The 24,596-nt window shown below is 39.0% G+C and overlaps 1 long non-coding RNA gene and 1 pseudogene across 1 annotated transcript in view, besides 1 other annotated feature; both read left to right on the top strand.

Moving 5' to 3' along the window:
• LINC00687 (long intergenic non-protein coding RNA 687) overlaps positions 1-23,003 on the top strand; it is a 60,729-nt gene extending 37,726 nt beyond the window's left edge. Inside the window, exon 2 of the long non-coding RNA NR_110635.1 lies at positions 22,551-23,003. This is a non-coding gene — a long non-coding RNA (long intergenic non-protein coding RNA 687). The remainder of the gene's footprint in view (positions 1-22,550) is intronic.
• Positions 221-1,420: an enhancer, noted in NCBI's record as "CDK7 strongly-dependent group 2 enhancer chr20:11812218-11813417 (GRCh37/hg19 assembly coordinates)". NCBI's record gives its function as "activates an origin of replication core promoter dependent on BRD2, BRD4, P300/CBP, MED14 and CDK7 cofactors, with strong dependence on CDK7, by STARR-seq in HCT116 cells {active_cell/tissue: HCT116}" and the evidence as "EXISTENCE:reporter gene assay evidence [ECO:0000049][PMID:35650434]".
• On the top strand, positions 13,899-14,169 carry RN7SKP111 (RN7SK pseudogene 111; annotated as a pseudogene).
• Positions 23,004-24,596: the final 1,593 nt, after the last annotated feature.

Genomic DNA, 24,596 nt, shown 5'->3' with positions numbered 1-24,596 from the left:
ATAAATACTCTATTATAGGATGGGATGTGGTGGCTCATGCCTATAATCCCAGTGCTTTTGGAGGCTGAGATGAAAGGACTGCTCGAGGCCAGGAGTTCAAAAGAAGCCTGTCCAATAAAGTGAGACCTCATCTTTACAAAAGAAAAATTAAAAATTAGCCAGGCATGATGGAGGATGCCTGTAGTTCTAGCTACTTGAAAAGCAGAGGAGAGAAGATCTCTTGAGCCCAGGAATTCTAGGCTGCAGTGAGCCATGATTGTGCCACTGCATTCCAGCCTGTGTGGCACAGTAAGACTCTAAAAAAAATTATATTATACACCTTTTGGTAAAGAAATATATACATTTCTATTAAATATATACCTAGGAATAAGAGTGCTGAGTCATGGTGGGTTACAAATGTTGAACTGTCATGGTTAGTGCTAGCTTTCCAAAGTGGTTGTACCCATGTCCACACCCACCATTAGTGTGTGGAAGTTTCCTTCAGCAATGGTTCCTAAGCAGAGGCATTTCTGTGTTCATCCATGGCCTTCTCAGCACTAGGAGCTAACCTCCTAGTGTTAGCTCGGATAACCTTGCATCTGATCTTCCTGGGCATGAAGAGTTTTGGTAGGAGAACTCAGAAGACGACAGTCTTTCTCCAACTAGAATTACTTGGAATTTAAAGGCAGAGTGAGAAAAGTGTTATGGTCAAAGCAGACTTTCCAAAGCAATAATAACATTTCACATTAACAAATATAGTGGGGTGACAATCTCTTTTAAAAATTTCTGTTGGAATGTCTAACCATGTCTTGAATGACAGAAATAAAGCTTCTTCTACAGTGCTCTCTGGTAGCACCTGTATTTCTATAGAGAAGATGGATGGGCTGTTTTGAATGTTGTTCAGTTGTTATTTAAAATACTGCAGGAGAGTTCAGCAATTTTCCAGCAACCTGAAAAATAAAAGTCATGCTTTGTTGGCTGCTTGGCACACTATACCTTAAATGATCTTGTGAATAAACATAAAAGTAAGTAAATTCTAAAAGTAATCTGCAAATGACCCGCAAAAATATAACCTTAGCCTTTGTCTTGCAGACTCTCGTCATCAAGCAAAGCGAAAAAATTTCTAATTCAACAAAACCCAGTCTTTTGGTCCCAGGATCCTCGAATATAAGGGAAAGAAATGAATCTTAACACTAAGGTCAGGGGCCAGATGTGGTGGCTCATTCCTGTAATCCCAGCACTTTGGGAGGCTGAGGTGGGAGGATCACTTGAACCCAGGAGTTCGAGTCTGCAGTGAGCTGTGATTTCACCATTGCACCACTGCACTCCAGTCTGGGCAACATAGTGAGACCTCATCGCTTAAAAAAATTAAAATTTAAAAAAATTAAAGAAATAGGACCAAAGTCAGGGAAAATTCAGGATGAATAACCAAGAAAGAAGAGGTTGCATGTCCATGTCACAGGAGATCTGTGCAACCGCAGTTTCTATGAAATAGAAAGCATAGAAAAGAAATCAACCAGCGAGAAAAAAAGAAATGAGAAATTGAGGAATCAAGCACAGTTAGGCATGTCAGTTGGTATATCAGTCACTATGGGCTAGGTTACTCTGGGTAACAAATAGACTCCATATCTCAGTGGCTTACATGAATGTTTCTTTCTTGTTAATGCTTTGTGCCTTGTGCCTGCTTGCTGTAGCTCTGTCCTACATCTTCTGTACTCCAGGTGCAGGCCAACAGAGCAGCTTCAATCTGTGTATTAGTTATTTCTTGCCACATTAATCCTGTAATTCCAAACCACCATGAAACTTCAGCAGCACTCAGGAATAAACATTTATTTTTTTCTCGTGAGTCTACATGGCAGCTGGAAAGTTCTGCTGATCTGGGCCTGGCTTGGCTGAGCTCAGCTTGGCTCACTCACCTATTTGGGGATGGACTGGCATAGGCTGGTCTAGGATGACCTCAGCTAAGACAATGCATCCCTGGTCCACTGGTCTCTCCTCTTTCAGCTAACCCGTGCTGAATTACACGATGGTATCAGAATTCCAAAACAGTGAATGGAAGAGTGTAAACCCTCCTGCAAATTAGTTAACAAAAAGGCACATTACTGCTTCTACCACATTCTATTGACCAAATCATGTCTCAGGCTAGCCCAGCTTCTAGGGACAGCGATCTCCATATCTCCAAATTTGGTGGAAGTTGCTATAGAATCATATTACAAAGGGAGAAGTGAGAAGTGACAGTCATTTTTGCATCAGTGTTCTAAAACCTGGAGCATTGCTGGTCATGATGGCAAAGGAAACATAAGCACATCACTTCTCTCACATTTCTTTGGTAGAGCAAGTCATGTGGCCAAGTCAGGTGTCAACCCAGTAGGCAAACAGAATCCTCTCTCACAGATTGGCAATGAATATCTGTAAAATAATACAATATTTCACAGAAGTTAGAGAGAGGGAAAAAATGTAGGTTTCTTTCAGTATGTTGGTGTCTGGGATAGACATTATCCTGGCATGAGAATGATTCCTGGATGTTAGACAAGACATGAGAAAGTTGTAATGCACTTTCATTTTTCCAAAATTCTGTCCCTTGAAAGTCCCTTTAGCATATAGGCACCCCTCACTGGCATAACCTCTAGGTCAATTAATACAACCTATTATCAACCTGGCCCTTGGAAGCAACAGGCATATACCTGTTCCTCATATGGCAAATGGTAAAATGAACTCAAAAAGAACACTTAAAATAGGTACTTTTTCCAAACTCGGTTTCCCATCCAGTCAAGGTCAGCCGGTACCAATCCAAGCTCACAAACTCGAGTGCATAAGAATTCAGCTGTCTTTATTTTCTGCAACTCTAGTTAATTTCTATTATAAGACCCTATGCCACAATAAAGTATAATTTAATTTCAGTTAATTCAGGGTCTCCACATGTTTGCCCAGGGCTGGATGTTTAGCTCTGAGGTATTCACTGTGTCATGGTTTGCATGGCATTGGATCCGGGGTATGCATTCCTCTGTCACATTGATCTTTGTGAGCCATCCTTCACATGGCTCTCTGTCCTTGGTCCTACAGATTACTGGTGCATAATCCTAAAGTTCTGTTGCAAGATCCCAGATGAGGGTCTTTCTCGCATTGTCATGTCATCCTGGTCTGCAGGAGATATTCAACATCCCTATGCCACATGGGGTTGAAGGCAGGGACTTGGTCAAGTTGATGAAGGCCAACTGGCTAGACATAATCTGCTTCTATTTCTAACCCACAGTCTTCCTGACTGCTTGGAATTTCACCAAAGGAGGCTTAACCCTTACTTCATTCTTCCAAACCTATCCTGGTTTTCAATCAGTCTTGTCCCAAGGAGGTGTGCCTAAGGTCTTATTGTTTTCCTTTCTTAGGGAGCCACCCCCATGCCCGTTCTTCTCCCCAAGTCCTTTATTTTGTTTGAGGGGAGGGTAAGCCAGCAAACTTTACTTATCTAAATCTTACCTTCTCAAAAATCTATTTTATTATCTGTGTATATGAGCTTGCTTTCTTCCCAGAGGGCCTAACCTTTCACAACTCAAAAGCCTGGAAAACAGTTGTTATTCCTCTCCTTTTAGTGTATCTTCCATTTTTTTGAGGCAATGAACATAAACATGACATTACCAGAATGGGGGTGAGAGGAGAAGACAGGATTCAACAGGAAGTAGAAGGAATGAAAAGGACAAAAGTGAAAATGATTGTTGCTGTATTGGGAAATGTTTAAAGACCTGCTCTCAAACAAACAAACAAACAAAAAAGATAAAAGCCTTGATTTGTAGTGTTTACTGATTTCTGTCATGTAAACACTCCCACCATGGCTGGTTTCACATTACCTATGCGACATCACCGATGTGCAACACAGAGTTGAGAAAAGATAGGTGGGAGGGCACGTTATGTAGTATTTTCACCATACAGATGCAAAAGACATAACTAATACCAAGACCATACAGAATAATTAATGTAGTGAAATAATTACAAAGGATAAATTATGTTTAACTTTGTTTTAATATAATCTATTTAATGGCAAGTTTAGGTAATTTAATTTTAATAATGGTTTTGTTTAACTGGCTCACAAAACATCTGAAAATTTCATAACAGGCTCTCAGCACCTCAAAATTGTTAATGTATTAAATACAATTGTTAATATTTTGTGACGATTTTTTGACACAAAGGAAAATAGGCTTTTCTTGCTGAGGATGTGAAATGGATTATTTAGCAATTATGAGTGCTCTGGATGTCTCTGAGCCCTACTTCCCACTCTTTCAGACTCACCTATGATACAGCTGTTTTTATCAACCTCATGCCACTTGTTTTCATCTTTTGATGTATGCCCAGGACTGTTTGGGCCTAACATGGAAGCATGGGGGCTGTCTGCACCCACTGGGGCAACCCTTACCTAATTGGGAAAGAAGGTGATGGATCATTATTTCTCTCCACTGATCTTCATTTACAACAAGCTCATTTACAACTCCATAATGGATTGTTGGATTGAATTTCCTCCCATCTCTGTTACATTCTGTGTTGCCCTCACTCCTGATCTTTGAGAGAACTTCCCGATAAACTACTTGTACCGAAGCCCTGTCTCAGGCTCTGCTTTCAAGAGCACTCCCAATTAAGACACTGACTCCATCTGGTCTCGCACCACTATCCTAGAAGGCTTGTGTTATCCAAGGATACCTGCAGTGATTTGGAGCATGCATGTGTAATTTTTTACTCAGAAAGAGTATGATATATAGACAAGACATTTAGAAACTGTAGACACGAAACAGACCAAAAGCATTGATTTGGGCGCTCTCTGTTATTGGATAAGTCTGTCTCTCCACAGGCCTTGAGACTACAAATAATCTAGGAATAGATGTTCATATGAGGTCATTCATGATGATCTGATTTTACAAATGTATATTAGAAAGATGTGACAGATTGTAGTTTCAAATTGACTATAACAAGATCTCTCATCTCACATGTTCTTCTTAAAATGTAAGTTTGACTATCCTGCCATCAAAATGTGGTGGTCCTAGCTCGTTTGGACTTCTACAACAAAATGTCATAAACTGGGTAGCTTATAAACAACAGAAATTTACTTTTCACAGTTCTGAAGTCTGAGAAGTCCAAGATCAAGGCATCAACAAATTCAATGTCTGGGGAGAGTCTATTTCCTGATACCTAGACAGTGGCTTCTCTCTGTCTTTTCACATGGTAGAAGGGGCAAGGCAGCTCTCTGGGGCCTCTTTTTTAAGGGCATTGTTCCCAAGCCCTTATGATCTAATCACCCCCACAAAGCCCCAGTTCCTAACACCATCACATTGGTAGTTAGGTTTCAACCTATGAATTTGGAGGGGACACAAACATTCTGACCATCGCCCATGGCAAGTGGTGTCTATATTTTGTCCCCTTAAACTGGGCAGGCTTCTGACTGTGTTAGAAGAAACTCTGTGGATTTCTGAAGCTGTTTTATAAAAGGCCATGTAGACGTGATTCTCAGGACAGCTTCTGAGATTCCTAAGCCACCATTTGAACAATTCAGCTGCCTTGAGGCCACCATGTTGTGAGGAAGCCCAGTTTAGTCCATGTGGAAAGAGAACATGGAAAGGTCCTGACACTACTTAGAGAGGGGGAGAGAGAGAGAGAGACAGAGACAGAGACAGAGAAAGCGAGATAAGACTTATCTGTTATTGTGAGAATAAAGGGCAGGCTTGAAGTTCAGCTGGGAGGCAGGTAATTACTGTATCTTTTTATTTTTTTTTTTAGAGCTTGGAGATAATAATGGCTGCTCTTGATGATTGGAACTACTAAGTAGTAAATTAGCATGTAATACTGAAGGCATTTTCAGTTATGCCTGTATTTTTATAAAGTAGAGGTACTGGTTTTTTACTTTGCAATTTTTATGTAATTACAAACTTACAGGAAACTTGCAAGACTAATACAAAGGCATTTCACATACCATTCATCCAGATTCACCAATTGTTAAAACTTTGCCACATTTGTTGTATTACTGTCTCTCCCTTTACACACACACACACACACACACACACACACACACACGTTTTTTCCGAACCACTGCGAACACGTTGCAGAAATTATGCCCATTTACCTGTAATTCTTCAGTGTGTGTTTCCCAGGATCAAGGCTATTCATTTCCATAACCACAGTACATTATCAAATTCAAGGGGTTTAATATTGATATAATACTAATATTCTATCAACAGATATTATTTAAATTACTCCAATCAATCACACTCTTTTTAAACATTTCAACTTTTAGTTTAGATTCAGGAGTGCAAGTTTGTTACATAGGTATATTGTGTGACACTGAGGTTTGGGGTAGAATTGATCCCATCACCCAAGGAGTGAGCATAATACTGTTTGCATAGTTTTTCAGCCCTTTCCTCCCTCTCTCCCTCCCTCCCCGCTTTTGGAATCCCCAGTGTTTATTGTTCCCATCTTGTGTCCCTGTGTACCCAATGTTTAGCTCCCATTGTAAGTGAGAACATGTGGTGTTGGGTTTTTCCGTTTCTGTGTTAATTCGCTTAGGATAATGGCCTCCAGCTGCATCCAAGTTGCTGCAAAGGACGTGATTTTGTTCATTTTTATAAAAATGCCCTTTACACTAACTTTTTTTTTCCTGTCCAGGATCCAATTCTGGATCACACATTGCCTTGTTTTCATGTCCCATTTCTCTAAAAAAGTTACTCTTTTGTTTAGCTTTCTAGAAAAGTCCATCACTGTGTTTGTCATTACTATCAAAGATATATAGAAGCTGATATGGCCTTCTGGTGCCTTTGCAAGATAACTTTGGAACCTGCTTTTCAATATTGTCTATATCTGGCTTAACAAAGTTAGAAGATATAGAAGCATTCACTCAGCCAGGAGAGATGTAAATGTAGCTGTGGCACTGTTCGCATCTATCCAAGCAAATGCAGTTTGTTTACTGAATTGAAAACCACCTGCTACTTGACATTTAAGATATTTAAAGAAGGAATCAGAAGATTTGCATTTCTTATGAATAAGTAATTAATTATTATTACTGCGCCTGGAAATCGAAAACATTTGTGTTATAGGGCTTTGAAGAGGGTAGTGTAATTGGCTTGGGGTTCTGACTGGTTTGAAGGGAATACGTAGTAGATCCTCATTCTTTCACCAACCAGCTGACTCTTCAAGGCCCCTAGCTGTTTTCCTTCTGACTGAGAGTGGTAGTAAGCCATTTATTTCTTCTTAACTAAGTGGCTCACCCCATTTTGGATATGTCTATGTCTATAATAACATAGCAGACATAACATGTTGTATACTGGGATGGATTCTAGACAAATAAGATAAGAAAAGTTTGGGCATATTTGGAGAAGTTGACCATATGCCCTAGAGCAGGGGATTGTTGGAGACATGGTCCCCACTGGTGGACTGGTGAAGCCTAGAAGCCCTTCTCAAAATGATGTTTTTAAATACACACCTGCACCCTGGTTCAGTTAGGGTTTAGATTAGTCAGAAGAGCAGAATCATGAGGCAATCTGGCTCTCTCTCTCTCTCCTTTCTCTCTCTCTCTCTCCGTATATATATACACACACACGAAAAACTAACGATATATAACATATATAAATTTATAACAAATATATGTGTGGATACACATCTTTTAACATAAAATAATATATAACAAATGTATATACGTACACATATATATGCTTCATGTGCATATACACAGTTGATCATCATTACTTACAGAGCCCACATTTTTTAATTTGACTGGTAATATTTATTTGTAATCCCAAATCAGTACTTATAGAATTTTTTTAGTCTTTTGTGAACATGCACAGAAAGGCAAAAAATTAGCGTAGCTCGGCCGGGCGCGGTGGTTCATGCCTGTAATCCCAGCACTTTGGGAGGCCGAGGGGGCGGATCACGAGGTCAGGAGATCGAGACCATCCTGGCTAACACGGTGAAACCTCGTCTCTACTAAAAATACAAAAAAAATAGCCGGGTGTGGTGGCGGGCGCCTGTAGTCCCAGCTACTCTGGAGGCTGAGTCGAGAGAATGGCGTGAACCCGGCAGGTGGAGCTTGCAGTGAGCCGAGATCGCGCCACTTCACTCCAGCCTGGGCGACAGAGCCAGACTCCATCTAAAAAAAATTAGCATAGCTCAATGCACACATTTCCAGTGGAGGATGAACAAAGCGCTGCTCTGCCTTCTTCTTTCAGCTTTCATACTGTAAACAAGGACCTTTTTTGTGGTGTATTTATTACTATCTTTTTCACATTTTTGTGCTTTTTTGTTGGTACTTTTGCTGTTTAAAATGGATCCCAGGCATACTGCTGAAGTGTTTCTAAGTGCAAGAAAACTGTGACGTGCCTTATGGAGAACATATGTGTGTTAGATAAGCTTCGCTTAGGCCTGAGTTATAGCGCTGTAGACTGTGAGTTCAATGTTAATGAAGCAACAATGTATGTTAAATAAGGTGTCTTTCAACAGAAAAACACACAAAGCAAAGTTATGTATTGGTAGGTTGGTGAAAATGTTGTGACCAGAGACTCTCAGAAACCTAATCGTGTATTTTCCCTAGGAGCAATGGTTCACTATTTGTTGATTCGGTCTTTGCAGTGACTTTATAGAACAAAACTACTGTGAATAATGAGAATCAGTTGTATGCATATGTTATATAATAAAGGGTGAAATTTCAACTTTTCTTTCCCCTTTCACCCTTTATAATATAGCATATACATTATATTATATAATAGGCTAAATAACAAATTATAAATTATGTTATTTATAATATATTATAATAATATATTACATATTATATTATAGCATAACATTATGTTATATAATTTAATAATGTATATTATTATATAAACATTATTATATATTATATAATGATTATATATAACACACTGTATATGTTTATATAATAAAGAGGGAAAGGGAAAAGAAAAGTTGAAGTAACTGAAACATTAATAACTCTTTCAAGAAACCGCAAATAAAGCCCAGTAGTCTTTGAGGTCTGTGTGAGAGAGTTACAGCTTTCTTACTTACTGACAAGAAGAAACTGTCACTGATTCGGCTGTTTCTCTTGTGGTATATTTTGTCAAAAAATTTACACCAGAATAAGTTAAACAAGAACGAAAGATTTTATTTAAGCCTATTGCAATAGGGGAGAGAGGCCAGCACCCAACTCAGCTGAGAAAAGGGTTGAGAGTTTTTAAGAGTTGGGATAAGGGATTGTAGGCCACCTGTGTTTGCTAAGTGTTTTCCAAATGAAAAGTAAATTTTCTTGTATCTTCATGACAGGAGATAATTTTACAGGGTTGGAACAAGGCTGAATTTAGGCTCCTATCCTCCCACAGAGACTGGGAGATAAGGGCATGATCTTCCTTGATGCTTCTATTTCTGAAGAATAGCTCCCAGGTCCTTGAGGAAGACATTCCCTGGGTCTTTATACTGCAAAGAGGCTTTAAAAAAGATTTATATACATTTCAAAGGGGTAAAGAAACAATTTGCAATTACAAGTTTTCTAAAGTGAGTGCTCTAAGAAAAGGGAAGTCAGGGATCTATGGTCAGAAAGAAACATGTCTAAAGTTTAGTCAAGCTGAGGGGAACATTAAGTCTGCCTTCATCTATCTCTCTACATTTGTGAGTATATCCTTTAAATATGTATGAGCATATATACATATATTAGTTAAATAAATCAGACTTTGTAAAATTGTGGAGATGAAGCCGTGGGTCTCCAGGGGACTAAAAAATCATTACTAAGAATTGCAAGTACTTGAATACCACATTATTTGTGAAATGAATAAATAATAATGCTTGTATGTTAGGTTTCCAAAATATACTTTTGTGATCAATAAGACACAAATTGTTTTGTTGAATACATTGAATAATATCTTTTTGTCATCTTTCAGTTTATTAATCAATGAATATTAAGGTATAACATTATCATGTACAAGACACTCAATTGATTTCTCTTTAAAAAGAGGTCCTTATGCACAAAGAATTATTGGCACTATTAAGCAGTTAATGAACTATCCCCATAAAATGAGTAATGGTCAATATTCTATTTCCAAATTCCTTCATCAAAAAGCAGCATTCTCCTTGAGTTGGAACATTGTAATTCTAGAGGAAAAAATTAAAAGAATTTTTTTGACATATGGTTTGGTGATAAACTTAGTAAAGAAATATCATGCTAACTCAAAAAAAGCTTAGATTTAGATTATGAAATGTGTTTAAATGTTAAGAACACTTACAGTATAATAAAAGGCTGGGGAATAAAATCTTAAGCTCAGTTTCACATATTGTGTACTGTCCTAACATAACCTCCAGAAGAAAGACTTCAAATCCAATGTCACAAAGTCAAATAGTATCAAGAATGTTTGCAAAACCTTGTCAAAAATAAGATAAACCTGTACATACAGTTTAAAAGTAGAAGAGCTATTTTAAACCAAGCTCTGTGTCACGAAGCTCAAGACTTCGATTTCCTTTCATGTCACTAAATAGCATAGTCCAATAATAAAGGGTGTAGTGCAGGAAAACGGGGAAGTTAAAAAGTTATCAAAACATTAATAACTCTTTCAAGAAACCTCAAAATGCAGCAGTTTTGTGTAAAGCTCATAGGCTTTCAGGCCATGTGGACAGGTTACAGTTTTCTTCTTTGAACACCAGAAAAGGCATCTCTGAATTCAACTATTTTTATTGTGGTGGTGGTTCTTTTGTTCCCACAGCTCTGCATAAGGAAAGAAAAATGTTCTTAAGTAGTGTAAATAAGCTATAAGATCTAAAGGATTAAGATAAAGTTTTTGAAACTGTACTTTGAGACAGAGCCCTGAGGCCTAACTCTGAAGTTCTCTAAAAATACACTAGTTTTCCCTTATTAAAAATTTCCTACACATAAATCACCCTATTTTACACACACACACACACACACACACACACACACACACACACTTTTCAGTGGTAGCCACATTAACATAAAACTTTTCTTCAGTCTTTAGTTGCTTATAAAAATGCAAACCCCTTTGGAAATGTTGTTTGAACTTAATAAAAACCAGAATATCAGTCAAACGAATCACAAAGTGCATGATGAAACTTATATATGTGTGTGTGTGTGTGTGTGTGTGTGTGTGTGTGTGTGTGTAGATACATACAGTTGTTTTTTTTTAAGAGACAAGGTTTCTCTTGTTGCCCAGGCTGGAGTGCAGTGACACAATCATTGCTCAATGCAGCCTCAAAATTCTAAGCTCAGGCTATCCTCCCAGCTCAGCCTCCCAAATAGCTGAGACTACTGGCAGGCAGCACCAACACCCAGCTAAATTTTTCACATTTTTTTTTTTGTAGAGTCAGGGTCTTGCTAAGTTGCCCAGGCAGCCTTCAAACTCCTGGGCTCAAGTGATTCTCCCACCTTGGCCTCCCAAAGTGCTGGGATTACAGGCCTGAGACACAATGCCTGGTCTCAAATATTTTTAACTCGACTGAAAACAGAGGAACAAAGTATATATTCTCCAAATCTACTGGACAGAAACAAAATTGAATCATTGACATCTTTTTCAATCCAAACCAATAATTCACTCGGAATGTTTATTTCTGCATTTAATCAAACATGTGTCCTGAAAGCATCTTGGGTTTTATGTGACTATTTTCCCAGGTTCCTTCATTCTTATAGGGAGTCTCAATTTTTCTTAGAGCTCCATTAGAGAGAAGCAGGTGTTGAACTTGGAGAAGGCGTTGGATTTATTTATTTTTTTCTCACAAAGTAATAAATATATAATAGTCATAATAGTAACAATAGTAACAACTACTGCCATGTTTTCTTAATTGGAAAACATTTTGAATCACACAGATCCATCTCATTGACTATCGCTTTTATTGAAATTTAGGAGGCAGCTAATATTATGTACAATAAATGCATCCAAATGAAATCAATGGTCCTAAAAGGCCAACTCATTTTTACCACTGGTGCAATTAAAATACAGCAGTAAAAAGCAGAACTGACATTGATTTTCCTTTTCTTTTTTGGAAGTAGATTCTTTCCCTTGATAAGCAATGAGAAAAAAAATGTATTCTACATGACTGTTTTTCTTTGTGTTATACAAGATTATTCTTTGTGTTGCACAAGATGTACTCCTGGCCATCTACTTGATAATGAAGCAAGTTTAGTATTAATTAATCCATTACTATGGTATTTTATTTTGCTTGCTGGCATTCAACTTACCCTAAAATACCAAAGGGAAAAAGAAAAGGAAAATGCAAAGACAGGAAGCTAGATTTGTCAACTGCATAGAATATGTCACTCAAAGGTAGATTTAAAACATTGATTTTCCAACATGGTGGGGAAGGGAGTATTCAAAATTATATTCTGGGCAATAGATGCAATATATTAAGGCACTACAGGTTTTTAAAGAAGCTGAAAGTAACAAAAGGAAAGTACTAATTATTTTATATATCACACCAAATGGATAATCTAAAAATTAAAATCAAAATGTAGAGTTGGCATTGGGGTACTTTTTTTCAACAGTTATATACAAATGTGTTTATTTATAACATGAGTGCTGTGGGGATAGGGAGAGGAAGTGACTTACCAAAGATGTTTTGATTTCATGGTTAACATTCAACTAGAAGCTTATCTGCCTGATGTACAGGCTATCGCATATAGGTGTATACCTTGAGTACAACTTCCTGTTATTCTTTATTCCTGTAAAACAAACTTGCTCCAAAGGAAGGAATCTTTTCTGCCAGAAGGCAACAACCTTCAGAAAAATAAAGATCTTTTGAGATCTTTCATCTCAATGAATTATGTTTAGACCCAGTGAAAGCTAAGGAGGCCTAATGAAGGGCATTTACAACCCCAGGTCACTGAGTCAGACAAGGGACCCCACCATTAGCCCCCATTTCCCTTTGAGAGATACACTGAACATTTTTTTTCCTGTCAATTTAAGGAACTTCCTTTAGTAGTCATTTCTCAAAAAGAAATTATGTCTGCATGTAGAATACACACATTACCCAGATTAGCTTGAAATTGGATCTTGTTTAGACAATCAAAACATCTTCAGCGATTCACTTCCCATCGCTGAACTGAAAAAGTGAAGGTACAAGTAACCATACTTCACACATAATTATGTCAAAAAGTAGAGTTTCACTGATTTGAGAGTTATTTCTGGAATTTAGCTTTACAGAATATCCCCCTCCTCCATCCCACATTGGCCTGATCCTCTTCCTCCTTTTCTCAGCCCTAGGGAGGTATACTTAGGTAGAAGTTGACGATGCAAATTACTTTTACATCATTGAGTGTAAATGAATCAATACCTAATCCTGGAGTAGGTGACTTGGTTCCTTTTTTTAAGTTATGGGTTTAAGCTGAGGAGGAAGATTCACTGTTTTATGCAAAAATGTAATAGTTACATTGAAAAGAACTAGAATTCTCATTAAAAACTATATTGGTTCATCTATATAAAACACACTAATACTCAAAATGTACCTATGTGGTTTGAAGTAAGGACAGTGGTGACCCTTATAGGGATGGGGGACAATGGCAGAAAAGGATAAGTGTCTGTTTCCTGATCCAGGTGCTGCTTACGAGGGGACAATTTCTGAAGATCCAGCAGGCTCTACCTTCCTAATGTGCCCTCTGGGAAACTTCCTTTCTATTCAATAACAAGAGTAGAAAATTTACAATCATGTCCAAGCAATGCTGTTCACTTTCAGATTTGACTGTGTGAACTGGCTGAAGATCCTTAGTATTTTTTCAACCCTTTTATTTTGAAATAATTATAGCCTCACAAGAGGTTACAAAGATGGCACAGAGAGGTTGCATGCATGTAGGCTTCACTCAGTTTTTCTGAGTGGTTACATTTTACATCATTACATCTATCTATCTATCTATCTATCTATCTATCATCTATCTATCTATCTATCCATCTATCTATCTATCATCTATCTGATGTGAGGGCAATCTGGCTGCGGCATCTGTCACCCCATTGATCACCAGGGTTGATTCGGCTGATCTGACTGGTTAGACGGGTGTCCCCTTCCTCCCTCACTGCTCCATATGCATCCCTCCCAAAGCTGCATGCTCTGTCAAAGAGGATGACCATCCCCGACAGAGGAGGACCAGTCTTCAGTCAAGGGCATACGAGTACCTCCGCTCCCATGCTAGAACCTCCAAACAAGCTATCTATCATCTATCTATCTATCTATCTATCTATCTATCTATCTATCTATCATCTATCTATCTATCTGTCTATCTACGTATCCATCTATCTATCTCAAAAAATATATAGATATCAAAAATATGTATGAATAGCAAAACCAAGATATGGACACTGCTACAATGTGCACGTATAGTTCTATATCATTTTAATCACATGGGTAGATTTTCATAACAACCACATGATGTAGATACAGAACTATTCCACTACCAAAAAGAACTCTCTTATGCTGTGTGTTTGTAGTCATACTCAACTCCCTCCTCTACACCATTTCTAATGCCTGGTAACCACTAATCTGTTTTCTATCTCTACAGTCTTGCCTTTCTGATAATATTATACGAATGGAATAATATAATATGTAGCCTTTTCAGATTGGCTTTTTAAAAACTTAGCATAATGCCCTTGAGAACCAGCCAGGTTGTTGCTTGGATCAATAGTTGACTTTTTTTTGTTACTAAGGAATATTTCACAGTATGATATTCCACAGCTTGTTTAACCATTTACTTCTCGAGGGACATTTTGATTGCTTCTGATTTTTGGATATTACAAATAAAACTGATATGAACAATCACATCTAGGTTTTTGTACAGACATAAGTTTTCATTTTTATGTGATAAATGCCCAGGAATGCAATTGCTGGGTTGTATAGTGAGTATATACTTAGTTGCCTTTTTTTGGTAAAGAAATTGCCAAGCAATTTTTCTGAGTTGCTGTACCATCTTACATTCCCACCAGCGATGTATGAGAGGCCCAGTTTTTCTACATCCTCACCAGCATTTTGTACTATCATTACCTTAAAGTTTCAGTTGTTCCAATAGGTGTGTAGTGATACCTCATTATGGTCTTCATTTGAGTTTTCCTAATGGTTAATGATGTTGAACATTTTATATGCGTATTTGCCATTCGTATATTTTCTTCAGTGAAATATCTCTTCATACTTTGCCCTCATTTTGTTTCTTTTATTTTTGTTATATTGCCTAATTAATTCCTTTAAGATTTTTTAGCATCTTTTTAAATAAAAATATTTCTCCCTGTTAACCTATCTACAGGTTGCTGTTTCTGCTAGTGATGAGCAGCGCTTTCCACTTGTGTCTGGAGAACCAGAGAGTCCCTGCTTCCCAGAGAGCCCCCGCTTTCTTCCTTCTCTTTGTTCTGACTGGAAAGACCTTTTCTAGACTCTTGGCCTCCCTTATGGGAGAAACCTCATGGTTTCTGATGGGAAGCGAAAGCATCTATTAAGATTCACATCAAATGACAGCTCTTCCAGGAAGCCTGGACTTTTTTACACCAAATATACATAATCACTAGTCTTTTAAACTGGCATAGTACTTTTACAAATAGTTCCCAGCGGTGCCCTGGTAGATGCTGTTTGTGTCCTCTCCATATGACACTCAGCATTTCTTTGCACACTGGCCTGATTTCTGTGCTAGCAGCTACTCCTCCCTGACCCTTGGTCTCTTTCTCTGCCTTCTTTCTCTGCCTTCCAGAGGTTGCTCTGCCTGGGCAGAAATGCTGGGAGGAGCCCTCAACCTATGGTAAATAAACACTTCAGCTTCTTTACTCCTTGTGTAGGATAACTGTGCTCAGAGTTTCCAAGTGGGAGTAAGTCCTGGTTGCCCATGGTGGGAACTGGCTTGATAACACACATTTCATTGGCTGATTTCCTTTCCCTTTTTCATTTTTCTATTGTCCTACTGAAATTTTCTGAGGTCCCCTCCTGAATAAATTTAAATAATTGTTTCAAGTTTCGGTTTTTGAGAACCCAAAATTAGGTAGCAAGTATTCCCTTCTACCAAGATGAATAGTAACCCACAAACCCCTGGTCGTTCCTACACAACAGAAAGCTCTTTGCAGAGAGAGAGAGAGAGAGAGAGAGAGAGAGAGAGAGAGAGAGAGAAAGCAAACCAACAGAGTATCCTAGCTGAAAGAAGAGCAAGTGCAAAGGTCATGAAACCAACATATTCTTGGTCTATTTAAGGAACCGCAAGAGACTAACAGGGCCAGAGAAAAGTGAGTAACAGAAGGACTAGAGCTGGAAATGAGCTCATATAGGAAAGTTCCATCTTTCCCCTTCTTCAAATAGGGAGTGAGGGTAGAGATGAAAACAAATGGGCTGGGAAAAATTTTTCTGGCCTAAGGGCTGTGGAAATGTAATATTTCTTATGAATGTCACCAGTGTCTAAATGGATCTTAAATAGTCTATCAATGCACACAGGCCATTTTTCCTGGTATTTAAATGTTATTAATATACATAGTCAAACTAATTAGAAACCTTAGGATCTTCCTATTAAATAGAAAATTAGATATATGAGCAAAGACAGCACATATTGTTGGATTAGATAGTATGAAAGGGTTGAAATGACAGTCTGTGAATTGGGCAGAGGTATTTCCAGGTTTCAGACTGGGATGTTCCCATTATTGCATTTTGGTTAGATCTTCTTTGGGGTACATCCTCATGTTATTAATCTCAAAGATGAATCAGCCTAAATCTTGACATAAATCCTCCCCAAACCAAAGGATAAGAGCATTAACCCCAACCAGCTATATCTGTGACTAGAGGCCGTGAACCTTTTTGGCAGAGCTGAAAAATAGATTTCATTCTTGACCTGAGACATTGCTGTCTATCTCAGAATTGATCAAAGTCTTAAGACTCAATAACTTTGAGGAGGAGAACATTCCCTGGAGGCCAAGTTGAAAGGTCTTCAAATCCACTTCACTTCCGACTGAAGGTAGACTTCCACGATTTAAGTTATGTCATGAACAGAGGGGAAAAAGATAAATGTAGTAAGCCCATTTTGGCATTTTCCTCATATGCATTTTCAGGAAAAAATTTAAGGAGGGATGATTCATTTGCATTAGGCTGGCTTTCTCTTAGTTAAATACCTTTGTTTTATGTTCCTGTTATTCCATCTTCATAATAAATTGCCCTAAAATGTAGTGGCTTAAAACAATAGAATTACTTTGCTTACAAATTAGCAGCAGAGCTTGATGGGGAATAGCTCCTCTCTCCTTACGTGTCTTCCACTGGAAAGAAGGCTGCAAGATGAAAAACCTAAAACCCTACTCCTTGGCATGTCTGCCTGTTGATGGTGGAAAGACTCCAATAGTGCTGGTGAGGCTGGGGCTCCTAAGGCATGGCTCTCTGTTTCTATAGGAGATCTCCATGTGGTTGCCCCACATTGCAGCTTCATTCAGTAGATGAACTTCTTACCTGTTGGCTCAGGGTTCTCAAAGTGTATGCCCCAAAGGATAGTGTCAGGAAAAGCCATATTGCCTTCTAATGCCTGAGGATGAGACATAGACTCTAACTCTCAATGGAAGAGTGTCGATATCATCTTGTAGGATAAGCACATGGGATATGATATACAATGGTGTGGTCATCTTTAGAAAATACTGTCTGCCATATTTTGCTTCTTATAACATATGCTGAACTGCAGAACTATGAATTCTCTCTCATTATTTACTAGACAAAATAACTCACAGCTTTTAAGGCCTGACCTCGATTCCTTGAACAGAACAACTGGAAATGATAAAAAGATTAAGAAAACACTCATATTACATATCACACTCAACATTTTTGCACATGGGAATTGCATTAGAATCAGACAGAACTGCATTGGAATCTCAGCTCTGTTATTTTCTATGCAGGTATCTTCATCTGCAAATAAGAATTCCTATCTCAGGGTGGTTATGGTGATTAAATGAGAAAATTCACATAAACTCTGAGCAGAGTACCTACCATATAGCTACTGGTTTTAGTAGGGAGTGGTAGTGATGGAGATAGAAATTAATAGTAGTAATTACAGTGATGTACTTAAAGGTGTCTATTTTAAGTCATGTCAATAGATTTTCTTCTGCTGCTCATCTAAATTTCACAATAAGTAGGCTCCCCAGCCTCACATGCATTAGTGTTTAGAAATTTATGTAAATCTGATTAATGCACTTTGATCTGAATTAACCAGAGTCAAATCAAATTCTCTCTCAAAATAATACCTCAGCTCTCGTTTTGGTTCAGCTATTCACAGTGAATTGCTGTGGAACTTGGGACTGGCAAGCTTTGTGCATTTGCACAACTACAACATTGCTTAGGGTTGGTCTGTTCTACTATAGAATACCTGTTGGTTAGGAAGGTCGGCAAAAGTCTCTTTCATTAATAGTAAGTATGTGGCATATGCCCTTCAGCAGAAGACTGTCGCCCTTCAAAGAAGCCTTGTGAGCCTACCAATGCCCTCTGTGCTCTCTTCTTCCACTTAATATCTTGAGGGTGCTTGTTGTCTGTACTCTTCATGTAGCTTGTAACCTCAAATTCTCCTGTGGCCTCTCTTGCATTGCTTTTGCAACAGGTCACCTGCTCTTACTCACTAACTCTGCATTTGATGACTAACTTGTAGAATCTTTGAGGGCAAGTGATAAGTATTCTGCTTCATGGATTCTTTCATCCGCATATATATATTCAACACCCACTACTTGCCAGACACTGTTCTTAGTCCAGAGAATTCACAGTGAGCTACAGAAACTCCCTGTCTCAGACTGCGCTCCTCTAGAAGCTGACCTGGAGATATGGGTTCATCTTCAGGCAGTTTATTGGAGAAGTGATGTCAGAAAACACCAGTAGAGGTGTGGGGGAAGTGGGATGGCAAGAAGAGGAAGCAAGGAAGAGGTATGTTTTCCAGAAGGTTAAACACTGGGGCCAACCAGAGCTTCAACCTATTAGGGAACCCGAGGAAACACCTATCTTAGTATTACACACTTGATGAGTGAGGGAGCTGGGAGGTTTATATTCCCACCAACTCCCATCAGGGCTGCTTGCAGGGAGGGGCCGCATGAATTCCTGAACCCTCCTGCAAATCTGAACTCCAGCAACTAGAAAAAGCTTGCAGGCGAATAATTGTACATAATAAAAGATGGGCCAGTGTGGATTGAAGTAAAACTTGCTGAGACTGTGTGTCAGTTTCCTAGGGCTGCTGTAACAAAGCGCCACAAACTGGATGGCTTAGAACAACAGCGACTGATGGTCCCACATCTCTGCAGGCGCGAAGTCTGAAATCAAGGTGTCGGCAGGGCCAGGCTTGCTCTGGAACTGCAGAGGAATCTTCCCTTGTCCTTTCCTAGCTTCTGATGGTTTGCCGGCAATCTTTGGCATCCCTTATCTTGTAGAGGCATCGTTCTAATCCTCTACATATGGTGTTCTTCCTCTGTCTTCACTTTGTCTTCTGTCTGTGTCTAAATTCCCCTTTATATAAGGACGCCAGTCATATTGGATTAGAGCCCCACCCCAATGAACTCATTTGAATTGATGACTTCTGTAAAGACTTTTTCCAATAAAGTTACATTCTGAAGTTCTGGGGGTTAGGACTTCAAATACATATATTTTTTATGAGACACAATTCAACCCATATCAGGGGATAAAAGTCAGTATGCTGACAGCATCTGATGTAGTCTCTACTTCAAAGGATCTATACTCTAGTACAGGGGTCCCCAATTGATACCAGCAGGGGTCTCCCCACGATACCGGTCTGAGGCCTGTTAGGAACAGGGCTGCAAAGCAGAAGCTGAGTGGCAGGTGAGCAGCATTACCTCCTGTGCTCCGCCTCCTGTCAGATCAGTGGTGGCATTAGATTCTCTAGGAACTCGAACCCTGTTGTGAACTGCGCGTATGAGTGATCTAGGATGCACACTCCTTATGAGAATCTAACTAATGCCTGATGATCTGAGGTGGAACAGTTTCATCCAGAAACCATCCCCCCTCCATCCATGGAAACTTGTGTCTTCCATTGAGGCAGGAGTATAGGTTCTGGAGTGAGGGAACCTAAGGTCGTTTCATGCTGACTTCCTAGAACTAAATTGAAAGGAAAACCCTAACTTTCCACGCCTAAGGGAAAAAAGGACCAGAGGCTACTCCCTTTGCAAACCCCCGACCTTTTCTGCCAAGCAGATGGGAAATTGGCTGTCCGCAACCAATCAGACTGATGGCCGGTCCAGTCTTCCTTTGCCTAGAAGTGCAACTTTGTAACTCCACCTTAGCCTGTGATTGATTACAAAAAGCAACCAATCAGATATTTGCACAGGAGTGTGAACTTCATTAACTCCACTTCAGTCCACTTTGTAACTACTCTTCGCAACTCCTCTGATTGCAGGCCACCACTTCATTTACATGAGGTGAGCATGAAGTGGCCAGTGGGTATTTGGACCCGAGAAGATTCTGTATCCGGGCCTTTGAGCCGCTGCTCAGGCTCGTTCCCACACTGTGGAGTGTACTTTCATTTTCAATAAATCCTTGCTTTCGTTCTTTCGTTGCTTCATTCTTTCTGTGCTTTGTTGCGCATTTTTCCAATTCTTTGTTCAAAACGCCAAGAACCTGGACAACTTGCAGTCAAGACCCTCTACTGGTAACACCATGAAATCAGTCCCTGGTGCCAAAAAGTTTGGGAACCTCTGCTCTAGTAGGGGAGAACAATAAAGAAAACAAATAAATACAATGTATAGTATACATGAAAATGATAAATGCTATGGAGAAAAATGAAGACGGGAGGTAGGATGCTTCTTGGTATTCTCCAAAAGGGTTCGAATAGTTATGCACACACAGTTGGGGGTTCAATAAATATTTATGAATGTCACGACTAAGTGTCTGAATATACAGAGTGTGCTATTCATATGATCTTTCATTTGATATTTAATATCTATCAGTGGTCTGCCTAGTAGTGTACTAGGTCTCTGTGGAGAATCTGAGTCTTTTTTTATTTGAATGGTTTATTTACTCACTAAGAAGTTTTGGCAGATTTATATGTGGACTGTGGAGTTCAGAAAAGTAGTGACCAATTAGTTGTATTTGTAATCTCTCTGGAGAATTATTTTGAGGAAGAATGGTTAATACACATACACACACATATAAAACCTATATAAACACATATATAAAAACACATTTAAATATAAAGTGCCTCAAAAAAAAAAAGCAATTTGGTAAAACATTAGCCTGAAAATAAAATACCAATACAGAACAATTTCTAGTTTACTTAATGAGGACATGGTGATACCTCTCTACCTATTTCATGAAGCTTTTATTTGGTACATTTACTTTAATTTTTTAATGCATAATATCTCGTTAACAATTCTGACATGGGCTTTCTAAACACTGAAGTTATAATTATATAAACATTTCTGGGCCGGGCATGGTGGCTCACGCCTGTAATCCCAGCACTTTGGGAGGCCAAGGCAGGCGGATCACGAGGTCAGGAGATCGAGACCATCCTGGCTAACATGGTGAAACCCCATCTCTACTAAAAATACAAAAAATCAGCCAGGCATGATGGCGGGCGCCTGTAGTCCCAGTTACTCGGGAGACTGAGGCAGGAGAAAGGTGTGACCCCAGGAGGCGGAGCTTGCAGTGAGCTGAGATCGCACCACTGCACTCCAGCCTGGGTGACAGAGCAAGACTCCGTCTCAAAAAAAAAAAAAAAAAAAAATTTCTGGCTCTGTTTTAGTTTCATGGTGGTGGAAATTATAGCCATAAAAATCCTCTAACTGTATGTATTATAGGGAGAAAAATGACATTAATCCTGAACAATGGGTAATAATTGAGACGTGTTGTCAAGCAGTGCAGTGACAAAAAATAACCTTGCTGATCTCCTCTGTATCTTTGAATAATTATCAGCTATAAAAAAGGAATAGGTTGGTGCTATAATCTTTTTGTTTTTATTGGGAGAAAGACTATTTTAATCTTATTTTGACAGTCCCTTATCTAAACTATTAACAATTTATTCATTCTGTATTATTAGATTAAGTCACAATTGTGATCACTTATGACTGGACATTCTCTCAGCTCTTTCAGATCTTGCTCCCTGGGCTCTGTGCCCTGAGACCCATGGGGTTCCACTCAATACCGGTCTTAAATACATAGTTTTTTTCTGAAAGCTACTAAGCACAGCTTGAATGCCAGTGCTTTCAATTAAACCTTCTAGGTTTTGTGCTGGTGTTAAATAGGCCACCACTGGGGTTGGTTGCTTCCAATAAATGTAGAACTAAAGGCAACTGTAGGGTGTAGAGAGAGATGATCCTTTAAACCAATATAGTGGAGATAAAAGATTGAACAAACTGCTCTTTTTCTTGCTTGACTTAGAATAGACATGTTGTAAATGATACTCTTAAGCGACCAAAACACAGTAAAAATATCCAGTGACAAAGGAAAAAAGGAGAGAAAATAACTTTTAGTTAGCTGTGTTAGTTATTGGCAATGCATATATCAAAACAGGAAAGATGTGATTTCATTCTTCAGGGTTGACTTTATACTCAACAAGATTACATGGTGAAGAGTCATCAGAATACAAGATTACATGGTGAAGAGTCATCAGAATAATCAATCTTCCTCCACTTTCCTTCTAACAGTCTCTTCGTGGCCTGTGCTGAGGACTACATCAGTCTCCTGCAATTATCATCTACACTGAAAAACAAAGAGGACAGAGGCGAAGCTAGTGGCCCTCACCATCCCCTGCAAGCTGATTGCTTCTTACTGCAAGCACTTGAGCATCTTCCTGAGAGCTTTCTTGGGCAATGGGAACCAGGCTTGGCCCAATCACAGGCAGGTGAAGTATGAGGAAATGGAGAAGGCATTGTCCAAGGAGCAGTCTTCAACCTTCACCCCGCAAGTGAGACAACTCTGAATAAGATGTGTTCTACACTCTCTTCCAAAGGTCCCCAGTTGGATGGAGCTCTAGCTGCTCATGTGATAAGCTGCCTATTAATACACAAAAGATTGCCTTTCCTCCTTGCTCTGTCTTCCTGCTGCTCTCCTACTAATGTTTCCTGGGATTGCCTCCAAATAAACCACTTGAACTCACATATTAGTGTTATTGTCAGTTGGAAGATTTTAGTGTTTTAGATATATAGGAGCTCTTCCGCTTTTAAGATTGCCAATTTCTTCTTTCTTCAGAGCAGTATTCATACCTGGACCGTATTATTTTTTTCTGGAAGTATTTTATTATTGCTTAAAAATACCAGGAAGATTACCATGAAAACTGTACATTTATAATTTAAGGATGGAATCTTCATGTAGTTTCTTAAACCTCGGAGGTGAAGGTATTACATATTCCAGAAATTCAGGAAACTTTCTGTGTTATAGAATAGCAGGATATTGAAACCTACATTCTCTGGTTAAGAGAATGCCTACATGATTTTTAAATAATTGGTCTATGGGCTGCCCATGGTGGCTCACATCTGTAATCCCAGCACTTTGGGAGGCCAAGGCGGGTGGATCACTTGAGGCCAGGAGTTCGAGACCAGCCTGGGAAACATGGTGAAATGCCGTCTCTACTAAAAATACACAAATTAGCTGGGTGTGAGGGTGTGTCCCTGTAATCCCAGCTACTTGGGAGGCTGAGGCACAAGAATTGCTCAAACCTGGTATGCGGAGGTTGCAGTGAGCCAAGATTGCACCACTGTACTCCAGCCTGGCTGACAGAGTGAGACCCTGTCTCAAAAAAAAAAAAAAAAAAAAAAAGAATTGGTCTGTGAATAGTGATAGCAAACATAGCATATTTTTCTTATTCAAAGAAATAATTATTGAGATCCTATTATGTATATGTTTTGTAAACTGGTCCCCTATTCATGGTGGGGCCCCACTTAAGCTCAGGACTAGATACTTACCAAATCCTGGAGAAGGGCCTGTTTGCTTCTAAGTTTCCTTGCTTTGTGGAATTTAAAGTGATTGTCATACCCAAGTAAGAGATGCTTAGGGGGTGAGGAGAGGATTAATACAGAGGCTAAGTTCTTATTCAAATGCAGCTCAGTTTTAGATCTCATTTTATGGCCATCATCCCATACAGATTTGCCAAGAAGCATTCCAAAATGATTCTTGACGATTAGCTATCAAATAGAAAAAGAAATAAGATACTTGGCCGGGCGCGGTGGTTCATGCCTGTAATCCCAACACTTTGGGAGGCTGAGGTGGGAGGATCATGAGGTCAGGAGGTCGAGACTGGCACCACAGAAGTCATTTCTCTAGTTTATCCCTTCAGAAGTGGCTTACATGGTATAAGGCACTGCAAAAATAAATAAATATTTGTGGCTAGTACCATAATAGCATATCCCCTTTGATGAGGAAGACCTTGAAATAAGTATAAGTATGATGTTACAGGGACAGAAATGTAGAAACAAAACTTTCATATAGGATATATACTGTGTACTTGTGTTAGTTCATTTTGCATTGCTATAAAGGAATACCTAAGGTTAGGTAATTTATAAAGAAAAAAGATTTATTTTGGCTCACAGTTCTGTAGACTGTACATGAAGCATAGTGCTGGCATCTGCTTCTTGTGGGGCCTCAGGAAACTTCCAATCATGGCAAAAGGTGATGGGGAGCAGACCTGTCACATGGTGAGATAGCCAGTAAGAGAGAAGCCAACTCGTTGAAATTATATATGTTGGCTGGCTAAG

This window comes from Homo sapiens, chromosome 20 (genome assembly GCF_000001405.40).
Source record: "Homo sapiens chromosome 20, GRCh38.p14 Primary Assembly".
Lineage (NCBI taxonomy): Eukaryota > Metazoa > Chordata > Mammalia > Primates > Hominidae > Homo > Homo sapiens.
Note: the sequence above shows the minus strand (reverse complement) of the source record. Positions and strands in the feature narration are given on the sequence as shown.